Source organism: Homo sapiens, chromosome 10 (assembly GCF_000001405.40).
Source record: "Homo sapiens chromosome 10, GRCh38.p14 Primary Assembly".
Taxonomy (NCBI): domain Eukaryota; kingdom Metazoa; phylum Chordata; class Mammalia; order Primates; family Hominidae; genus Homo; species Homo sapiens.
The window spans coordinates 46,985,833-47,003,861 of NC_000010.11; the positions used below are offsets into that span (position 1 = coordinate 46,985,833).

General features: G+C 36.2%; 1 protein-coding gene across 89 annotated transcripts in view; it reads left to right on the forward strand.

The window, feature by feature from the left end:
• The window catches only part of PTPN20 (protein tyrosine phosphatase non-receptor type 20), a 92,226-nt gene extending 74,405 nt beyond the window's left edge, over positions 1 to 17,821 (forward strand). For 39 of the 89 annotated variants that reach the window (NR_148023.2, NR_148024.2, NM_001352542.2 and 36 more), the window contains 2 exons: positions 14,080 to 14,142; positions 14,844 to 16,490. Coding sequence is in view for 86 of the 89 variants with exons in the window: in NM_001352548.2 (NP_001339477.1) it covers positions 14,080 to 14,142; positions 14,844 to 14,909 (129 nt within the window). In the remaining 3 variants the exon portion in view is untranslated. Of the gene's footprint in view, positions 1 to 1,507; positions 1,724 to 14,079; positions 14,143 to 14,741; positions 16,491 to 16,690 lie in introns of those variants that run through there. The other 50 variants (NM_001042357.5, NM_001352527.2, NM_001352521.2 and 47 more) reach the window with 5 other exon arrangements.
• The last annotated feature ends 208 nt before the right edge of the window (positions 17,822 to 18,029 follow it).

An 18,029-nucleotide genomic window follows, 5' to 3' on the forward strand; every position in this document is an offset into this window, starting at 1 on the left:
GTCATCACCAAAGAAGTTGATTGGAGCACAATCACCAGGAAAAGGGTTGCTGAGTGATGCTGAGGTTTGACCCATACATTTGTAGTAGCAACAAAATATGTGATTATGTGTATTTTTCTAGCAGTATAACATTGAGATCCCTGAATACAGGTTATGGGACTGATCCAGAGAGAGAGATTAATTTTAAGGAGTTGGTTCAAGTGATTGTGGAGGGTTGGCAAATCTGCAGGGTGGGAAAGTAGGCTGAAGACCCAGGGAAGAATTGGAGTTTGAGTCCAAAAGCAATCTGCTGGTAGAATTCCTTCTTGCTCATGGGAGGTCAGTTTTTGTTCTCTTAAGGCCTTCAGCTGATTAGATGAAGCCAACCCACTTTATGGAGAATAACCTGCTTTACTCAAATTCTACCAATTTAAATGTTAATCTCACCTAAAAAATACCTTCACAGAGGCACAAAATAATATTTGGCCTAGTATCTGGATACCAGGGCTCAGCCAAGTTGACACATAAAATTAACTATCACAAATTTCAGTCGACACTGTGGATTAGAATAGAGCTCTGAGCACTAGCATCTTTATTCAGAAAGCTTAGGAAAAAGAGGTGCATTCGGGAGAAGCATAGGAGAAGTGAGAAACTCATTTTGAGTTCTTCCATTAGGGTCCCATGTGTGATAAAATAAGGGCCCCACACTGAGGAAAGGGTCATGATCCCTTTGGATGAGATATAGGTAAATTCAAAGTGCTTTATCTGACAATGCTGGGAAGAGTTTCATGACTCCACTTCAAGGGGGCTCAGCACAATAGTGGGACCCACAATCTACTCTCATGGTCATTGACTACCCTGTCTTCATCGCTGGAAGAGATCGGTGCCTCTCTTGTCAGACACCTATATGTCTTAATTAAATTTCATATGTCATTTCTAAACTAAGATACTTTGCCTTTTGGTCTTATTCCTAACATGACAGTCCATCTCTCACTCTAAGCATTTTGAAATCTTGGTTTTCCTGTAGCCTCATGGTACAGAAGAATGATGGTAGATTAGAATTCAAGACACCTACATTACAGTTCCAGCTCTAAACGTGTGAACCTTCTGACCTAGCATACATCTCTCGTCCCCCTCATCCTTAAATTTTCATCTGTAAAATGGAGATAAAATGGTGCCTATCTCACATGGTTGATGTGAAGATTAAAGGAGAGAATTCATGTGAAGCCCCTAGCATAGTAACTGCCACATAGCAAGTGCTTAATTTTTGTTACCTGTTAATACTGGTATTTTTATTGTTGTTACTGTGCTCTCCTTTGTAAAATGGAGAAAACCTCTATTCCTAGCAACTTCCAGAATTCTTATAAACATCAAAAAGAGGTTTGAGTACTTTTTGAAAGTTCTATATAATACCAAGGTAATACCATATAGCCATTATTATTATCATTTGAATATTAGAAGTTGGCGTGAGGTCTCTAATATAAGAAATCAATAAATGTCTTTCTCGCTCTGTTTCTTTCTCTAACAGACGGGAACTAGTCACTCTGTAAAACAGTTGCAGTTCACCAAGTGGCCAGACCATGGCACTCCTGCCTCAGCAGATAGCTTCATAAAATATATTCGTTATGCAAGGAAGAGCCACCTTACAGGACCCATGGTTGTTCACTGCAGTGCCGGCATAGGCCGGACAGGGGTGTTCCTATGTGTGGATGTCGTGTTCTGTGCCATCGTAAAGAACTGTTCAGTAAGTGTGTGAATCAAGCAGATACACTGATGCTGTTGGTGTTTACACACTACATTTAATAGCCTGATCATTTGGAAGACTAATATTTGGTCTTCAAAAGCAACTTAGTAAATCAAAAGCACATGAGCTTTGGATACCTGATTCTCACCGAACTTGCTGCAGGTTCCTGGGGGTGTTTGTGAGGATTAAAGTATGTATTGTAAATAATGGCTTAGGACAGTGTCTGGAACATAATAGATACACAGAAAATGTGAGTTCCATTTCCTTTTCCTTCCCTGTATCTTACACGGGGTGTTTAGACTCTTACTAGAGAATGTTGATGGAATGTGCCTGTTTTTAATGAATATAAGTGACAAGCACATAAGAATGTGAGAAAAAATGTAGACTTCTGAGTTAATGAGGGGTCCCTGTTTGACTGCCTGTTTTGCCACATACTTTAGATTTTGGTGACTTTGGGTAAATTGCTCATCCTCTCTCAAATCTAGTTTTCTCATTTGCAAAATAAACATAATAATATAATTGAGTTTGAGTCAATAATTCACAATCCTTTACTTTTGTTTTTAATTTGGAACCAGCTAAGAGATAGACACAGGAATCAGATGTGATGATTACAATATTTCCTTTATGATTATTTTTATTCTCAAGTTTTATCTGTTAAAATGATTCCATCTATGTTGTTTTTCCTTTTATTTTTAGTTGACATGTAATAATTGTACATATTTGTGGGGTACAGAGAGTGGTATTTAGATATATGTATACAATGTGTAGTGATCAGATCAAGGTAGTTAACATATGCATCACCTCAAACATTTGTCATTTCTTTGTGTTGTGAACATCAAAAATCTTCTTTCCTAGCTCTTTAAATATATACAATAAATTATAATTAACCATATTTGCCCTACAGTGATGCAGAACACCAGAGCTCATTCCTCCTATCTAGCTTAATTTTGTATTTGTTAGCCAACCTTTCCTTATCATCTTTAATACCCACAGTTCTACTCTTGACTTCCATGAGTTTGATTTTTTAGCTCTCATATATAAATGAGAACATGCAGTATTTATCTTTCTGTGCCTGCCTTGTTTTGCTTAATGCAATGTTCTCCAGACTTGTCCATATTGCTGTGAATGACAGGATGTCACTCTTTTTTTATGGCTGCATAGTATTCCATTTTCCAATTCATTAGCATAGGATTATTTCCATTTGTTTCTGTCCTCTTCGTTTCTTTCATCAGTGTTTTATAGTTTTCCTCATAGAAGTCTTTTACTTTTTTGGTTAAATTTATCCTAGGTGTTTTTTTTTTTTAATAGCTATTGTAAATAAGATCACCTTCTTTATTTCCTTTCAGCTAGTTTGTTATTGGAGTCTAGAAATATCACTGATTTTTGTATGTCGACTTTGTATCCTGCAACTGTACTGAATTAGTTTATTAGTTCTTAGAGTGTTTTGGTAGAGTCATTAGTTTTGGGGGATATATATATATATACATATATATATGAATATATGAATATATAGTCATGTTACATGCAAAGAAGGACAATTTAATTTCCTTTTTTTCCAATTTGGATGCCCCTTATTTCTTTCTCTTGACTAATTGCAATGGCTAGGACATCCAACATTATACTGAATAAGAGTGGTAAAAGTGGGCATTCTTGACCTGTTTTCCAGTTCTTAGAAGAAAGGCTTTGAGCTTTTCCCCATTCAGTATGATCTTAGCTGTGTGTTTGTCATATATCGTCTTTATTGTGTTTAGATATGTTCCTTCTATGCCTCATTTGTTTAGAGTTTTTTTTTTTTATCATGAAAGCATGTTGAATTTTATCAAATGCTTCTTCCACATCTATTAAGATTCTCATATGGTTTTTGTCATTCATTCTGTTGATATATCACATTTATTGATTTGCATATGTCAAATTATACTTGCATTCTGGGGATAAATCCCACTTGGTCATAGTGCATTATCTTTTTGATGTGTTGTTACATTTGTTTTGCTAGTATTTTGTTGAGGATTTTTTTTTTTTTTTGCCTCTATGTTCATCGGGGATATTGGCTTGAACTTTTTTTTCATTGTGTCTCTGTCAGATTTTGGTATCAAGTTGATAATGGCTTCATAGAATGAGTTAGAGAGGAGTCCCTCCTCCTTGAATTTTTTGGAATGGTTTCAGTAGGATTGGTAGCAGTTCTTCTTTGTACATGTGGTAGACTTTAGCTGTGAATCCGTCTGGTCCAGGGCTTTTTTTGGTTGGTAGGATTTTTATTACTGATTCACTTTTGGAATTCATTATTGGTCTGTTCAGGTTTTCTTGAACAGGAATTTCTTCCTGGTTGAATCTTGGGAGTTTTCAGGAATTTACTCATTTCCTCTAGATTTTCTATTTTTCGTGTGCATAGATATTTATAATAATCTCTGAAGATCTTTTATATTTCTGTGGGATTAGTTGTAATGTCATCTTTGTCATTTCTGATTGGGCTTAGATTTTCCTTTTTTTGTTGTTTAGCTAGCAGTCTATCAATTTTGTTTATTCTTTCAAAAAACAGACCAGGCGCGGTGGCTCATGCCTGTGATCCCAGCACTTTGGGAGGCCGAGGCGGGTGGATCACCTGAGGTCAGGAGTTCGAGACCAGCCTGATCAATATGGCGAAACCCCGTCTCTACTAAAAATACAAAAATTAGCCAGGTGTGATGGCATGCACCTGCAGTCCCAGCTACTTGGGAAGCTGAGACAGGAGAATTGCTTGAACCCAAGAGGCAGAGGTTGCAGTGAGCTGAGATTGTGTCACTGCACTCCAGCCTGGGAGACAGAGCGAGACTCCATCTCAAAAAAAAAAAAATTGTTTGTTGATCTTTCGTATGCATTTTTCCATCTTAATTTCATTCAGTTCTGCTCTGATTTTGGTTATTTGTTTTCTTCTGCTAGTTTGGGATTGATTCGTTCTTTTTTTCTAGTTTCTCTAGGTGAGACATCAGGTTGTTCATTTAAGATCTTCCTAACTTCTTTGATGTAGGCATTTAGCACTATAAACTATACTCTTAGCACTGCTTTAGCTGCATCCCAAAGATTTTGATTTGTTTTGTCTCTGTTTTCATTAATTTCAAAGAATTTTTTTGATTTCTGAATTCATTTGTTTACCCAAAAGTCATTTAGGAGCAAGTTGTTTAATTTCCAAGTAATTGTGTAGTTTTGGGAGATCTTCTTGGTAGTAATTTCTGTTTTTATTGTACTGTGGTCTGAGAGTATGCTTGAGATGATTTCAGTGTTTTTAATCTTTTTCAGATTTGCTTTATGGCTGAGCATATAGTCGATCTTAGAGTATATTCCATGTGCAGATAAGAAGACTGTATATCCTATGGTTTTGGAGTGGACTAGTCTGTAGATATTTATTGAGTCCAATTGGTCAAGTGTTGAATTTAAGACCAGAATTTCTTTATTAATTAATTTTTCGCTTTGATGATCTCTCTAATCCTGCCAGTTGGGTGTTGAAGGCTCCCAATATTATTGTGTGACTAAGTCTTTTCATAGGTCCAGAAGAACTTGTTTTATGAATCCGGGTGCTCCAATGTTAGCTGTGTGTATATTTAAGATAGTTAACTCTTCTTTTTGAATTTTTCCCTTTGTCACTGTGTAATGCCCTACTTTGTCCTTTTAGATCATTGTTGGTTTAAAGTCTGTTTTATCTGATATAAGAATAGTGACCCCTGCTTTCCTTTTGTTTTCCATTTGCATGATAGATCTTTCTCCATCCCTTTACTTTGAGCCTGTGGGTGTTCTTACATGTGAGATGGGTCTCTTGAAGACAGAATATGGTTGGGCCTTATTTTTTTAATCCATTTTGCCATCCTAAGCCTTTTAAGTTGGGTATTTAGACCATTTGCCTTCAAGGTTTATATCAATATGTGAGATTTTGATGCTGTCATCACATTGTTGGCTGGTTGCTTTGTAGATTTGATTGTGTATCTCCTTTATGGTGTCTGTGGGCCATGTACTTGTGTTTTTGTGGTGCCAGGTACTGTTCTTTCATTTCCACATTTAGCACTTCCTTAAGGACTTCTTGTAAGACTGGTCTAGTGCTCATGAATTTCCTTAGCTTTGATTGTCTGAAAAGGATTTTATTTCTCCTTTGCTTATGAAGCTTTCTTTGGAAGAATATCAAATTATTGTTTGGAGTTTATTTTATTTAATAATGCTGAAAATAGGTCCACAGTTTCTTCTCACTTGTAAGTTTCTGCTGAGAGGTCTACTCCTAGCCTGATGGGATTTCCTTTGTAAGTAAGCTGACCTTTCTCTCTAGCTGCCTTTAAGATTTTTTCTTTTGCATTGACCTTGGTGAATCTGTTAACTATATGTCTTGAGGATGGTCATCTTGTATGGTATCTCACAGGACTTTGCTGAATTTCTTAAATTTGCCTATTGACTTCTCTAGTGAGATTGGGAAAAGTTTTGCGCACTATATTTTCAAATATGTTTTCCAAGTTGTTTACTCTTCTTCTCTTTCAGAAATGCCAGTGAGTCATAGGTTTGGTCTCTTTACATAATCTCTTATTTCTTGGAGGTTTTGTTCATTTTCAATTTTTTTTTTTTTTTTTTTGAGACAGAGTCTTGGTCTGTCGCCCAGGCTGGAGTGCAGTGGCGTGATCTCAGCTCACTACATCCTCCACCTCTCAGGTTCAAGCAATTTTCATGCCTCAGCCTCCTGAGTAACTGGGACTACAAGCGCGTGCCACCAAGCCTCACTAGTTTTTGTATTTTTAGTAGAGATGGGGTTTCACCATGTTGGCCAGGCAGGTCTCAAACTCCTGGCCCCAAGAGATCCTCCCACCTCAGCCTCCCAAAGTGCTGGGATCATAGGCATGAGCCACCACCCCTGGCCCGAAATTCTTTTTTCTTTATTTTTGTCTGACTGAATTGATTTGAAGGACCAATCTTTGAGCTCTGAGATTCTTTCCTCATCTTGGTCTATTCCGTTGTTAATGCTTCCAACTGTATTATGAAATTTCTGTAGTGAATTTTTCAATTCCAGAAGGTCAGTTTGTTTGTTTCTTAAAATGGCTTTGTCAACTTTTTAACTCTTGGATCATTTTACCAAATTCCTTGGATTAGGTTTCAGCTGTCTCCTGAATCTCATTAAGCTTCCTTACCACCCAGATTCTGAGTTCTATGTTTGTCATTTCAGCCATCTCAATTTAGTTAAGAACAATTTCTGGCGAGCTAGTACAATTGTTTGGAGATAAGGAGGCACTGACTTTTTGAATTGCCAAAGTTCTTGCATTAAATCTTTCTCTTCTGAGAGGGCACGTGTTCTTTTATCTTGTTGAATTTGCTATCATTTCGATGAGGCTTTTTGTTTTTATATTCTTTGTATCCCTTGTGGGTTTGACTGTAGCATAAGCTGAGTATAGTCAGTTGGCTTTATTTCTGGGTGCTTTCAGAGGGCCAACACTCTGTATGGGATATTTATTAATACTTGTGGCTAGATTCTGGCACTGGATTTCACAGGCAGTGTATACTGGAAGAGTTTGGGGTGTTGTAATTTAGGCTTCAATCCAGTAGATGGTGCTTGAGAATAATGGCCGGCAAATAGACTCTCAGTCACATGGCTCTTTTGTATTCCAGCACATTTGCAGCAGTGGGGGTGGTGGGAAGGGGTAGCGATGATCCCCTGCCAGGTCCATTTCCAGGCCTTAGGGGAGCCCCCTCCAGTCACTGGCACCATGCCCACATCTCTTTAACCCCAAGGGGAACCCTGGCAGCCTGTGCTCTCTCCTCCCTTGGGGCAGCTCGAGCCAAAGATTAGGTCACCAGGAGATCCACAGCACACTGGAGGCCTGCTGATCCTCTGTGCTTGGGAGTCAGAGCTAATTGTGCAGTAGACCTACAGATGGTTTGTTGATGCAGTAGGTCAGGGGTGTGAGATCTCCAGGCAGGGCGGTGTTGCCGTGGGTGTATAGCTGATGTGGCACCCATAGCCTAGGGTTTTCTGCCCAGCAGACAGCTGTGGGGACTTCCCAGTTCTTTTTGCCTTGAGTGGATCTCAATAAGCTATTTTAAAGAAGTGACAACTTATCTTAGATCACAAAGTAAAGAATAGAAACAAAGAAAAAATTTTAAAAAAATTCTCTATGCTTTAACTCCATCCCCACCACATTTCAACTGCTTATTATCTAAATTTGTGTATTTTTATATTACCTTTCTCTTAATAGGTTGCTGTAGCTATTACGGCTTTTTATGAGTTTATCTTTCAGCTTCATACCAGAGTTAGGCATGGATTGCACACCATCATTACAATAATAGAGTATTCTGGTTTTGTCCATGTTGTTAATGTTACCAGTGGATTTTATGCCTTGAAAAGTTTTCTTTTTGAATGTGTATGTGGTTTTTTGTATTTTTTTATTTTCCTTCTGAAGAACTCGCTTTAGCATTTCTTGTAAGTCAGGTCTGCTGCTGTTGAATCCTCAGATTTTGTTTATCTGAAAAATACTTTATCACTCCTTCATATTTAAAAGTACCTTTGCTGAATATAGTGTTCTTGGATAACAGGTTTTTTTTTTCTTTCAACACTTTGAAAATTTATCCCACTTCCTCCTGGCCTATATGATTTCTGTTGAGAGTCAATTGTCAGATGAATTGGAGCTCTTTTATATGTTAATTACTTCTTTTCTCCTGCTACTTTTTAGGATCCTCTCTTTATCCTTGAGCTTTGAGAGTTTTATTATTTTATGCTTTGGTGTAGCCTTATTTGGGTTGAATATGTTTGGTGTTCTCTGATGCTCTTTTTTTTTTTTTTTTTTTTTTTTGAGACGGAGTCTCGCTCTGTGGCCCAGGCGGGAGTGCAGTGGCGCAATCTCGGCTCACTGCAAGCTCCGCCGCCTCCCAGGTTCACGCCATTCTCCTGCCTCAGCCTCCCAAGTAGCTGGGACTACAGGCGCCCGCCATCACGCCCGGCTAATTTTTTTGTATTTTTTTAGTAGAGACGGGGTTTCACCGTGTTAGCCAGGATGGTCTCGATCTCCTGACCTCGTGATCCGCCCGCCTCGGCCTCCCAAAGTGCTGGGATTACAAGCGTGAGCCACCGCGCCCGGCCCTGATGCTCTTATACCTGAATATTTATATCTGTTGCATTTTGGAAAGTTTTGTTATTATTTCTTTGAATAAGCTTCCTACCCCTTGCTCTTGTTCAACTCCCTCTTGAACACCAGTAATTTTTGGATTTGGTCTTTTGAGGTAATTGTCTATATTTGGTGATGATCTTCATTCTTTTTTATTCTTTTTCCACCTATGACTGCATTTTCAAGTAGCCGGTTTTCAAGCTCCCTGATTCTTTCCTCTGCTTGATTCATTCTGCTATTGTGAGGCTGTAATGAATTTTTCAGTTCAGCTAATATATTTCTCAGCTCCAAGATTTCTATTTGATTTTTAAATTATTTCAATCTCTTTGTTAAGTTTGTCTAATAAATTTTTGAATTGGTGTTCTGTTACCTTGGAGATCTCTGAGTTTCCTCAAAGCTATTAATACTAGTTTGAATTTTTGATCAGGGAGCTCTTATATGGCTATCTCATGAGGGTCAGTCACTGGTTCCTTGCTTTATCCATTTGGGGAGGTCATGGTTTTGTGTTGACTGCAGTTTCTTCTGGATGTGCAAGAAATATATATCTTGTATTGATGTCTTTGAATGAAGGATTAGTTATTTATTCCAGTGTTCTCTGTCTGGCTTATTTTTGTTTTTTATTGAATGTATTTGGTTATAGATTCTATGTAATTTACCTGTCGAATTTTTTTTTTCTTTTTTTTTTTTTTTTTTTTGGTGAGGGGCTAAGTTGCTGCCTTCTTTTTGGCACTAGATGTCACCTTACGACCAAGTTTGCCTTGGCTCCAGTAAACAATAAGAGAGCTGCTCATTCCAATTAGGGAAAGTCTCAAAGGAGATATCATGGCAGTGTGGGAAAGGTGGCTAGAGATTCATGCCCAGGGGTCCTGTGCAATGTATCTTCTGCAATGTGGTGCTACTAAACAACCACTCTGGTTTGGCATCTCCTTTAGCTGAGTTACAGACCAGAGTTTCCAGGGCTGGGGATGGTAGTCCCACCTCACCTGTTTGTTTCTGACTCTTCTCAGGGTATTTCTTTCTTCAGGCACATGTAGTGCTTCCTGTGGGTTGAGGTAGGGACAGGTTTCCTGCCAGGTAACCCAGATGGTGGGAAACCTGGATGTCACCTTTTCTGGTATAGAAATCATGAATCAGGTGGAGATTTTTTGCACTCTTGGTGCTGGGCAAATTGGAGAAATGGGCATTGCAGATGTGGAAACCCAATTCTCTTACTGCCTACTTAGAGTTTTTTTCCCATCTCTGTGGATCCAGGAACTGTCTTCTCCTCGTATTTGATTTCTGGGATATTGTTGGTGATAATTTCAGTGCTGTATATTTGGTTTTGGTTTTCTTTGTAAAGAAGTGAAGCCAGCTTGCTTCTACACTGTTATTTTGGAACCAGAAGTCCTCTCTTGTCTTTTTAATCTAATTCTCTTTAAGATAATTATTTTATCTTTGAATTAATTATTTTTTATGTAAATTACAAATAAGTCTTAATGGTTCCTTTGCTTTGTTAACCAGTACATCTTTGGAAATAACACAAGTGTAGTTTTAGAGCTTCACAATCAATAATGACTATAAAACTCAATATATGAGGAATCATAACTCCAAGTGAAAATTATATAACTCTTTGTCTTCATTTCATTGCAGTCACTTCCATCTTCATTATTTGGTTAACCACTACAGCCACATTTGGAAAGCTGTGTCTTTTCTTAACTGAACAGTCCAGTCATGCTTGTTTTATAGTCAGTAAACTGATTAAAAATTAGTAATTCAAATGTATTTCCATAATTTGCCTAATCTTAAATTATAATTAAAAAAATGCTTTTAAAGAAGTTACAGTTTTTAATTCTGATGAGATTGTATTTTATTAGTTTTTCCTTTTATGGATCATGTTTTGATATCAAGTCTAACAGCTCATCACTTAGCTGAGGGCCTGAATAATTTTTTTGTGTTCTTTTATGAAAATTCTGTAAGTTCATATTTGACATTTAAGTCCATAGTCCATTTTGAGTTAATAAATTATTAAATTTAGGTGAAGATTCATTTTTTGGCCTATTGATGGCTAGTTGTTTCAATATCATTTATTGAAAATTCTGTTATTCCTCTATTGAATTATTGTTGTACCTTTGTCAAAAATTATTGGGCATATTTGTATGGGCCTATTTCTGGTTCCGTATTCTGTTCTATTGATTAGTGTGTCTATCCTTCTGCCGGTACCACCCTTTGGATTATTGTAGTGATATAGTAAGCTTTAACATCAGATAGAATGATTCCTCCCACGTTATTCTCCTTTTTCAAAATTGTTTGAGCTATCCTAGGGTCTGTGCTTTCTCTAATAAATTTTAGAATTAGTTTGGCTACATCTACACAAAACTTGCTGGGATTTGGATGGAAATTACTTTAAATCTGTAGTTTAATTGGAGAGAGCTGATATCTTTACTGTATTGAATCTTCCAATCCATGAACATGGTAAGTGTATTTATTTAGGTCTTTTTTGAATTCTTGCATCAGCATTTTGTCATTTTCAGTGTATAGATCTTGTATATGTTTTGTTAAATTTACCCTATTCATTTTCTTTGGAGCAATTGTAAATGGTATTGTGTTTGTACTTTCAGTTTCCACATATTCATTGCTAGTACGTAGAAATTTAATTGATTTTCATTTGTTGATCTTGTACCCTGTGATCTTGTTGAAATTACTTATTAGCTCTTAGAGGTTTTGTAGGTTTTTTTTTTTTTAGATTCTTTAGTGTGTTCTACATAGACAGTCATGCCATGTGCATATAGATTTGTCTCTTCCTTTTTGATCTGTATACAATCTGTATACATCCTACTTATTTTCTGGTCTTATTGCTGTACTAAAATGTCAAGTGCTATATTGAATAAGAGTGGTGAGAGCAGGCGTTGTTGCCATCACTGATCTCAGAGGGAAAGCAAACTAAAATTTTATGTTTTGTGAAAGACCCAATGAAGAGGATAAAAAAAAAAAAACAAGCTAGAGAGTAACTATATGCAGGGCACATATCCAACAAAGGCCTTGGATCTAGAATTTATAAGGAACCCTCAAAAATCAATAGTTAAAAAAAAAAGAAAAACAGAAATGGGTAAAAGACATGAACAGACAGTTCACCAAAGAGAACATACAGATGACAAGCACGTGAAAAGATGCTCAGCTTCATTAGCCCTTGGGGAAATGCTAATTAAAACCAGGATGGAGTAGCATTACACACCTATCAGAAAGGCTTATGTAAAAATAGTGACAGCACCCCATGCTGATGAAGATTTGGAAATGCTGGTGAGGATTTGGAGAATTATGTGAAGATTTGGAGAAACTGTATTGCTCATACATTACCCATATGTATGAGACATTGGGAATGTAGACTGGTACCAGCCACTACGGAAAACAATTGAGCAGTTTCTTGGAAAGAAAACAAAAACAAAACTAACTAAAGTTGACATATAACCCAGCAATAGCACTCTTGGGGCATTTATCCCAGATTAATCAAAATTTATGTTCATACAGAAACCTGTATGTAAATGTTCATAGCAGATTATATTCACAGTAGCCAAAAACCAGAACAACCCAGATGTCCTTCAACAAATTGATGGTTAAATAAAGTGGCACATATCCACATCATGGAATATTATTTAGCAATAAAAGGAAGCAAACTATTGTTACACCAACAACTTGGATGGATCTCCAAGTTATTCTGGGTGGGAAAAAAGTCAATCACAAAAGGTTAGCTATTGTGCAATTTTATTCATATAGTGAATTTTGCTATTTCTTCTTGAAATAGCAAAAGCATAGAGAAGGAGAACAGATTACTATTTTCCAAGGGTTAGAGATTGGGGTGGATGAGTGTGACTCTATAGGGATAGCAGGAGGAAGTCTTGTGGTGGAACAGCTCTGTATCTGGACTGTGGTTATAGTTACATGAATCTTCACATATGATATAATTGCATGGAGCTCTGTGCATGCACACATGCACACATACACACTCTCACACACTCACTAACAGTTGCATGTAAAACTGGTGAAATCTGAATTAAGCTTTGTGGATTGTCCCAATGTCAGTTTCCTGGTTTTGATATTATATCTTGTTAAACAAGATGACACCATCTGGGAAACTGGGTGAAAGATACACAGGGCCACCCTGTACAACTTCCTGTATATCTGTATTATAAAATAAAATTTTTTTATGGCAGATATGGTGGCTGACGCCTATAATCCCAGACCTTAGGAGGCCAAGGCTGAGGATCACTTTAGGCCAGGAGTTTGAAACCAGCCTGGGTAACAAAAATAAAAATAAAAAAGTTAGCTGGGCATGGTGGAACGCACCTATAGTTCTTGCTACTCAGGAGGTTGAGGAGGGAGGATTGTAGTTTGAGATTGCAGTGAAATATGATGACACCGCTGTACTCCAGCAGCTGAGACAACAGAGCAAGACCCTGTCTCTAAAAAACTAAAAGTTTTTTCAAAGGGTTAATTAAAAATTTTAATTATAAAAATGATAAGCTATGAAAATAAAGGAATGCTTATTGTTTTCTATTTTTATATGCTTTGGGGTTACAGTTGACAACATTTACATGTGTCCACAATGTCTTGCTGAAACGACTCATTCTCAGCTTGTCCCACATGTGACTCTCCAGGCAAGTTCAGCAACACCTGAGCTGGTCTATATCCTGTTCAGTTGAGCACACTTCTCAGTGCTGTGCCAGTGTCAAATTGCCATAAGAGTTTCTGAGCACTTACTCCCAGTTTCTTGACTCATTGTGGACCAGCAACAGACCTTTGTAGGCCTGCACCAACTCAATGACCACACCCAGCTGTACTGGTGTCCACACACAGTCTGGAATCTAGTGTTGGGTCGACTGTTGCTCCCAGTTTCCGTGTGAGTTGACAGGGATCTTCATATAAGAAACAGATATGCTATTGTTGGGGCCAGAGAAAGTCTTCTGTGCCTTTCCAGAATTACAGTGCTGCTTTAAGTTCTGCCTTTGGATAACAAACAGGGACACACAAGGGCAAATTTATTACTTATTTTGGAGAGCATTTCTTATTATGAATGATTGCTTCCTGCTTTCTCCTGAAAACCTATTAAAATAGTCTTCCTTATCCATTGGGCTAAGTTAAAAATAGCACATTTTCTTGTGAGTGAAAATGAGATCTTTCTGATTAAATCTTGACATCTCTTTCACCCTTTTTGGCAATCTGTGAATTTGTGTTTTTCCCCCATGTGGATCATACAAAATTACTGTCATCTTATTACAGTTCAACATCATGGATATAGTGGCCCAAATGAGAGAACAACGTTCTGGCATGGTTCAAACGAAGGTAAGCTTTCACCACATACATAATAATAAGAATAATGAATATAAAGATTAACATTGCATAACACTTTACCACTTAAAAGCTCTTTTATTGACATAATCTCATTGAATTCCTACTGTTTGAGGTAGACATTAGTTTTGCTCTGATTCTCTGGTATTCCTGACCAAGTACTTCAAATTCAGAGCAATAAAGCCTGCTCCATGGGGTCACTCAGATAGAAGGGGAGGAGCCAAGCCTGAAGTTGAGGTCTCCTCGTGTCCAAACACATGCCTTGTCCATAATGCCGTGCTATTTAAGTAACATCTAAAGTTATTTTTAAAACATTTCTGGATAGCAGTTTGAGATATTTACTTGCCACTAAACTGTCAAGGTTATCAGGACGTCATAAAAAGACATCATTTATGTCACAGATTTGTTAGTAGTCATTGGGAGGGTAGATTAATAGAATATGGATAATGATAAAAAAAACAGTTATGTTAAGCCTTAAGGTAACTAGTTCTAGGCCAAGAGCTATATTTTGATCATTTATCTTCCTCATAGTTTTAAAAATGTATTCACGTAAAGTTCTTAAGTGTTTATAGTTAAATGTTTGCTCTTTTTAGGAACTTTCCAGTGTGGCTGAAAATTACAAATGTGTTTTCTGAAAGTGGATTCTGTTATTCAATTACTTAACATTCTGTTGTTTTTTATATATATGTATATAGGAGCAGTATCACTTTTGTTACGATATTGTGCTTGAAGTTCTTCGGAAACTTCTGACTTTGGATTAAGAAAGACTTCTGTTGCCTCTCACTTGAAATTACCAAGTGGGTTTGCACCTCCTCATAAAGAACATGTTTGCACTGTGCTGAAGGGCTTTGCTATGCATACAATCTGCTTTCTTGGTTTATCAGTTTATTTTCTTTCTAAAAGCTCCCTGAAGGGCAATATCATTTGGCTTGGGGTGATCAGTGTTTACTTATTGATCTTGCTAGACAATATCAAAATAACTTCCCACATTTTCCAGTGAAACAGATGTTACATAAAACGATTGCAGCTTGGCTATTTGGTTGAAGGGATTACAGAGCCCAATAAAGGATTTAAAATATATTCATTAAGATTTTATTTGGAAAGGTGGCTGGAGAGAGCTGAGGATTTCCAGGACTTTGTAAGTTCTTATTCTGGGAGAACATAAGGCCAATAATCATGACCTCTTCCAGGCATTTTTAAGACAGATGTCTATTCATGTTCTTTAGCTAGAGCCTGTACTTTTTGCTGGCATTTGAATAACCCAGTTTAAAAAGAGTCCAGTTAGGGTGGACTAACTTTGGACACAAATTGGCTTCCATTTCCTACATTTTCATACTGCTGCCTTCCTACAGCTGCTAGACCAAGACCTGTTGGTCTGGGAAGCATTTCATGGATAGGGAGAGCTCCTCTCGGTGAACAGTCCAAAACTAAAATAGATGTTTATATAGAAAGCCCAAGAGGAGACTTTTGCCATGCCTGAGTTCTTTCCTATCCCACCCTAACACTTAACATATTACTTAGTCTGCTTTGTTAAAAGCAAGTATTACCTTTAACTTGCCTCTTACTCTTTGCCCTTTAGCTAACTAATAAAGTTTGATATAGGCATTATTATATAATTCTGAGTCATTCATGGTATCTCTCATGTTTGATGTATTTTTCAAACTAAGATCTATGATAGTTTTTTTTCCAGAGTTCCATTAAATCATTTATTTCCTTTACTTTCTCACCTCTGTTGAAACATTTAGAAACTGGATTTGGGAACCCAATTTTGGAAAACCAGATTCATAGTCATGAAAATGGAAACTTCCATATTCTGTTTTTGAAAAGATGTGGCCATTATTACAGTAATTTTATTATAGGACTTTGCCTCGTACAATTAATAGTGATATTTTGGACAAGGAGTTCTGGTGACAAGCTATACCTAATTATAAGCTATAAAACAATAGATATGAGTGTTTGTACAGTTTAACTCAATGGAGATCAGAATATTCTATGTATTGAGAAAATGTTTAATATCAATCTATAAATCTTGAATTTCTAAGAGGCTTATTTTGTTCTTTTGGCTGAATGAGTATATTTGAATTGGTTGAATAATTAATAATTCTCATTGTAAAAATAATTATATGCCAAAAATATATTTGATGTTAAATCAAATAGATGATTCTGTTTACATTGTTCATATGAATAATAATCTGTGTTAATTTCATTTTGATAATTGGCCTTTAATATTTGTATCTCTAATTTTATTTTCTCTCTGTTACTGTAAAATAATAGCTATAATGTATAACAATTTTCTTCAGAAGAATTCTATGCTATTATTAAAATAAAATATTTACTGTGTATTGCCTGAAGTATTTTTATTTATCTGGGCCTTGAAATCGTCTTGTAAAGAAAAATTCCACAATGCTTGATGTTAAACATGTCTCTTCTTTAATGTGTGCCTCATATTTTTACAGCTGGACTAATTTTTAGTTTTCCAGGGAAATTAAAGGAGTGAATATGGAAATACTAATTGCATTTGTTTTCACTTCATTCTTGGAAGGTGAATGCCAAAGTGAAAACTTTTGACTGATTGAAATAATTTTATATCAATAATGAATCAATTTCTGCCTGCAATGTGAACATGAAATTTTCATTGACACCTTTGTGAGTATATGAATGCTAATTTAAAGGAAGTTTTAAAATATTTAAATATAAGCATATATATATTTATTAACTTTCAATTTTAAATACATATTTTTAAAGTTGTATGTTCTTGAGGCTTACATGTTAGACCAAAGCTTTTCAGAAATAAACATCTTAGATTTTTTTCTTCCATATTAGAGTTAGTAATTTATCTTCCTTTGGACCTTTTACCCCCAATCTCCTTAGAACATTATTGAATTTTCAGCTAAATTTACCTTTAGCACTCAAAAGTTATTTTAGTGATTTATTTTTATTGAAAAACCTCAAAGGAAAACACCTTTAAAAAGTCTAAAGCAAAATACTTTTATTTCCTACTTAATTTTTTTCTAATTCCTCGGAAGAATTCGTTTTCTTCTATGTTGTCTTGAGGTTCATGTAATTGAACAAGAAGATTCAGAAGGTCTCTATTAAGTAAAAAGAAGTCATTGGTATTCAATGGGGGTGATGGATTGCTCACTGGAACACTCATTTGTCTATAGCCTCAATCAAAAACTGGTAATTACTTCATAATTAAACAATTTGAATTAGAAGGGATCTTAAAAGATTGAATACAAGCATTGTATCTGAAACTTGAACGTGATAACATTTTTTAGAAACCAACAGCAACATCAAATTTGTAGGTGAAAAACAGAGCCCCCCCTATTAACAAAACAATACCTCCTGTTAGCACAGTAGCTGAGTATTGCTCCAGAGTTATCTAGCCAATGCAGTAAGATTACAAAAGTGGAATAATTGCTGTAAATATTGGAAAGCTAGAAGAAAATGATCTTTTGTTCATACGTTGTTCACATAGAAATAATAGACTCAACTCAAAAATAGTATTAGCAAACTTATTATGAAGTTAAGATACAAGATAACTATGTAAAAATTAATCTTTCTCTATATCTATTAGTCTGTCTCTTTATCTACAACCAGCAAACTATGGCCCACAGGCCATATCTGACTTCTTGCCTTTTTTTGTAAATAAAGTTTTATGCCCATTTGTTTACATATTGTCTGTGGCTGCTTTTGTATTATGGCGATGACTGAGTGAATAGTATCAGCAGAGATCATATGTCTTATAAAGCCTACAATTTTTACCACCTGGCCCTTTAAAGAAAATTTTTGCCAACCCCTGTTCTGTATCTTCAACAGGAAAAATATCTTTGAGCAACAGGCATATATAAAATGTATATTTTATAAAATATGTGAAATAC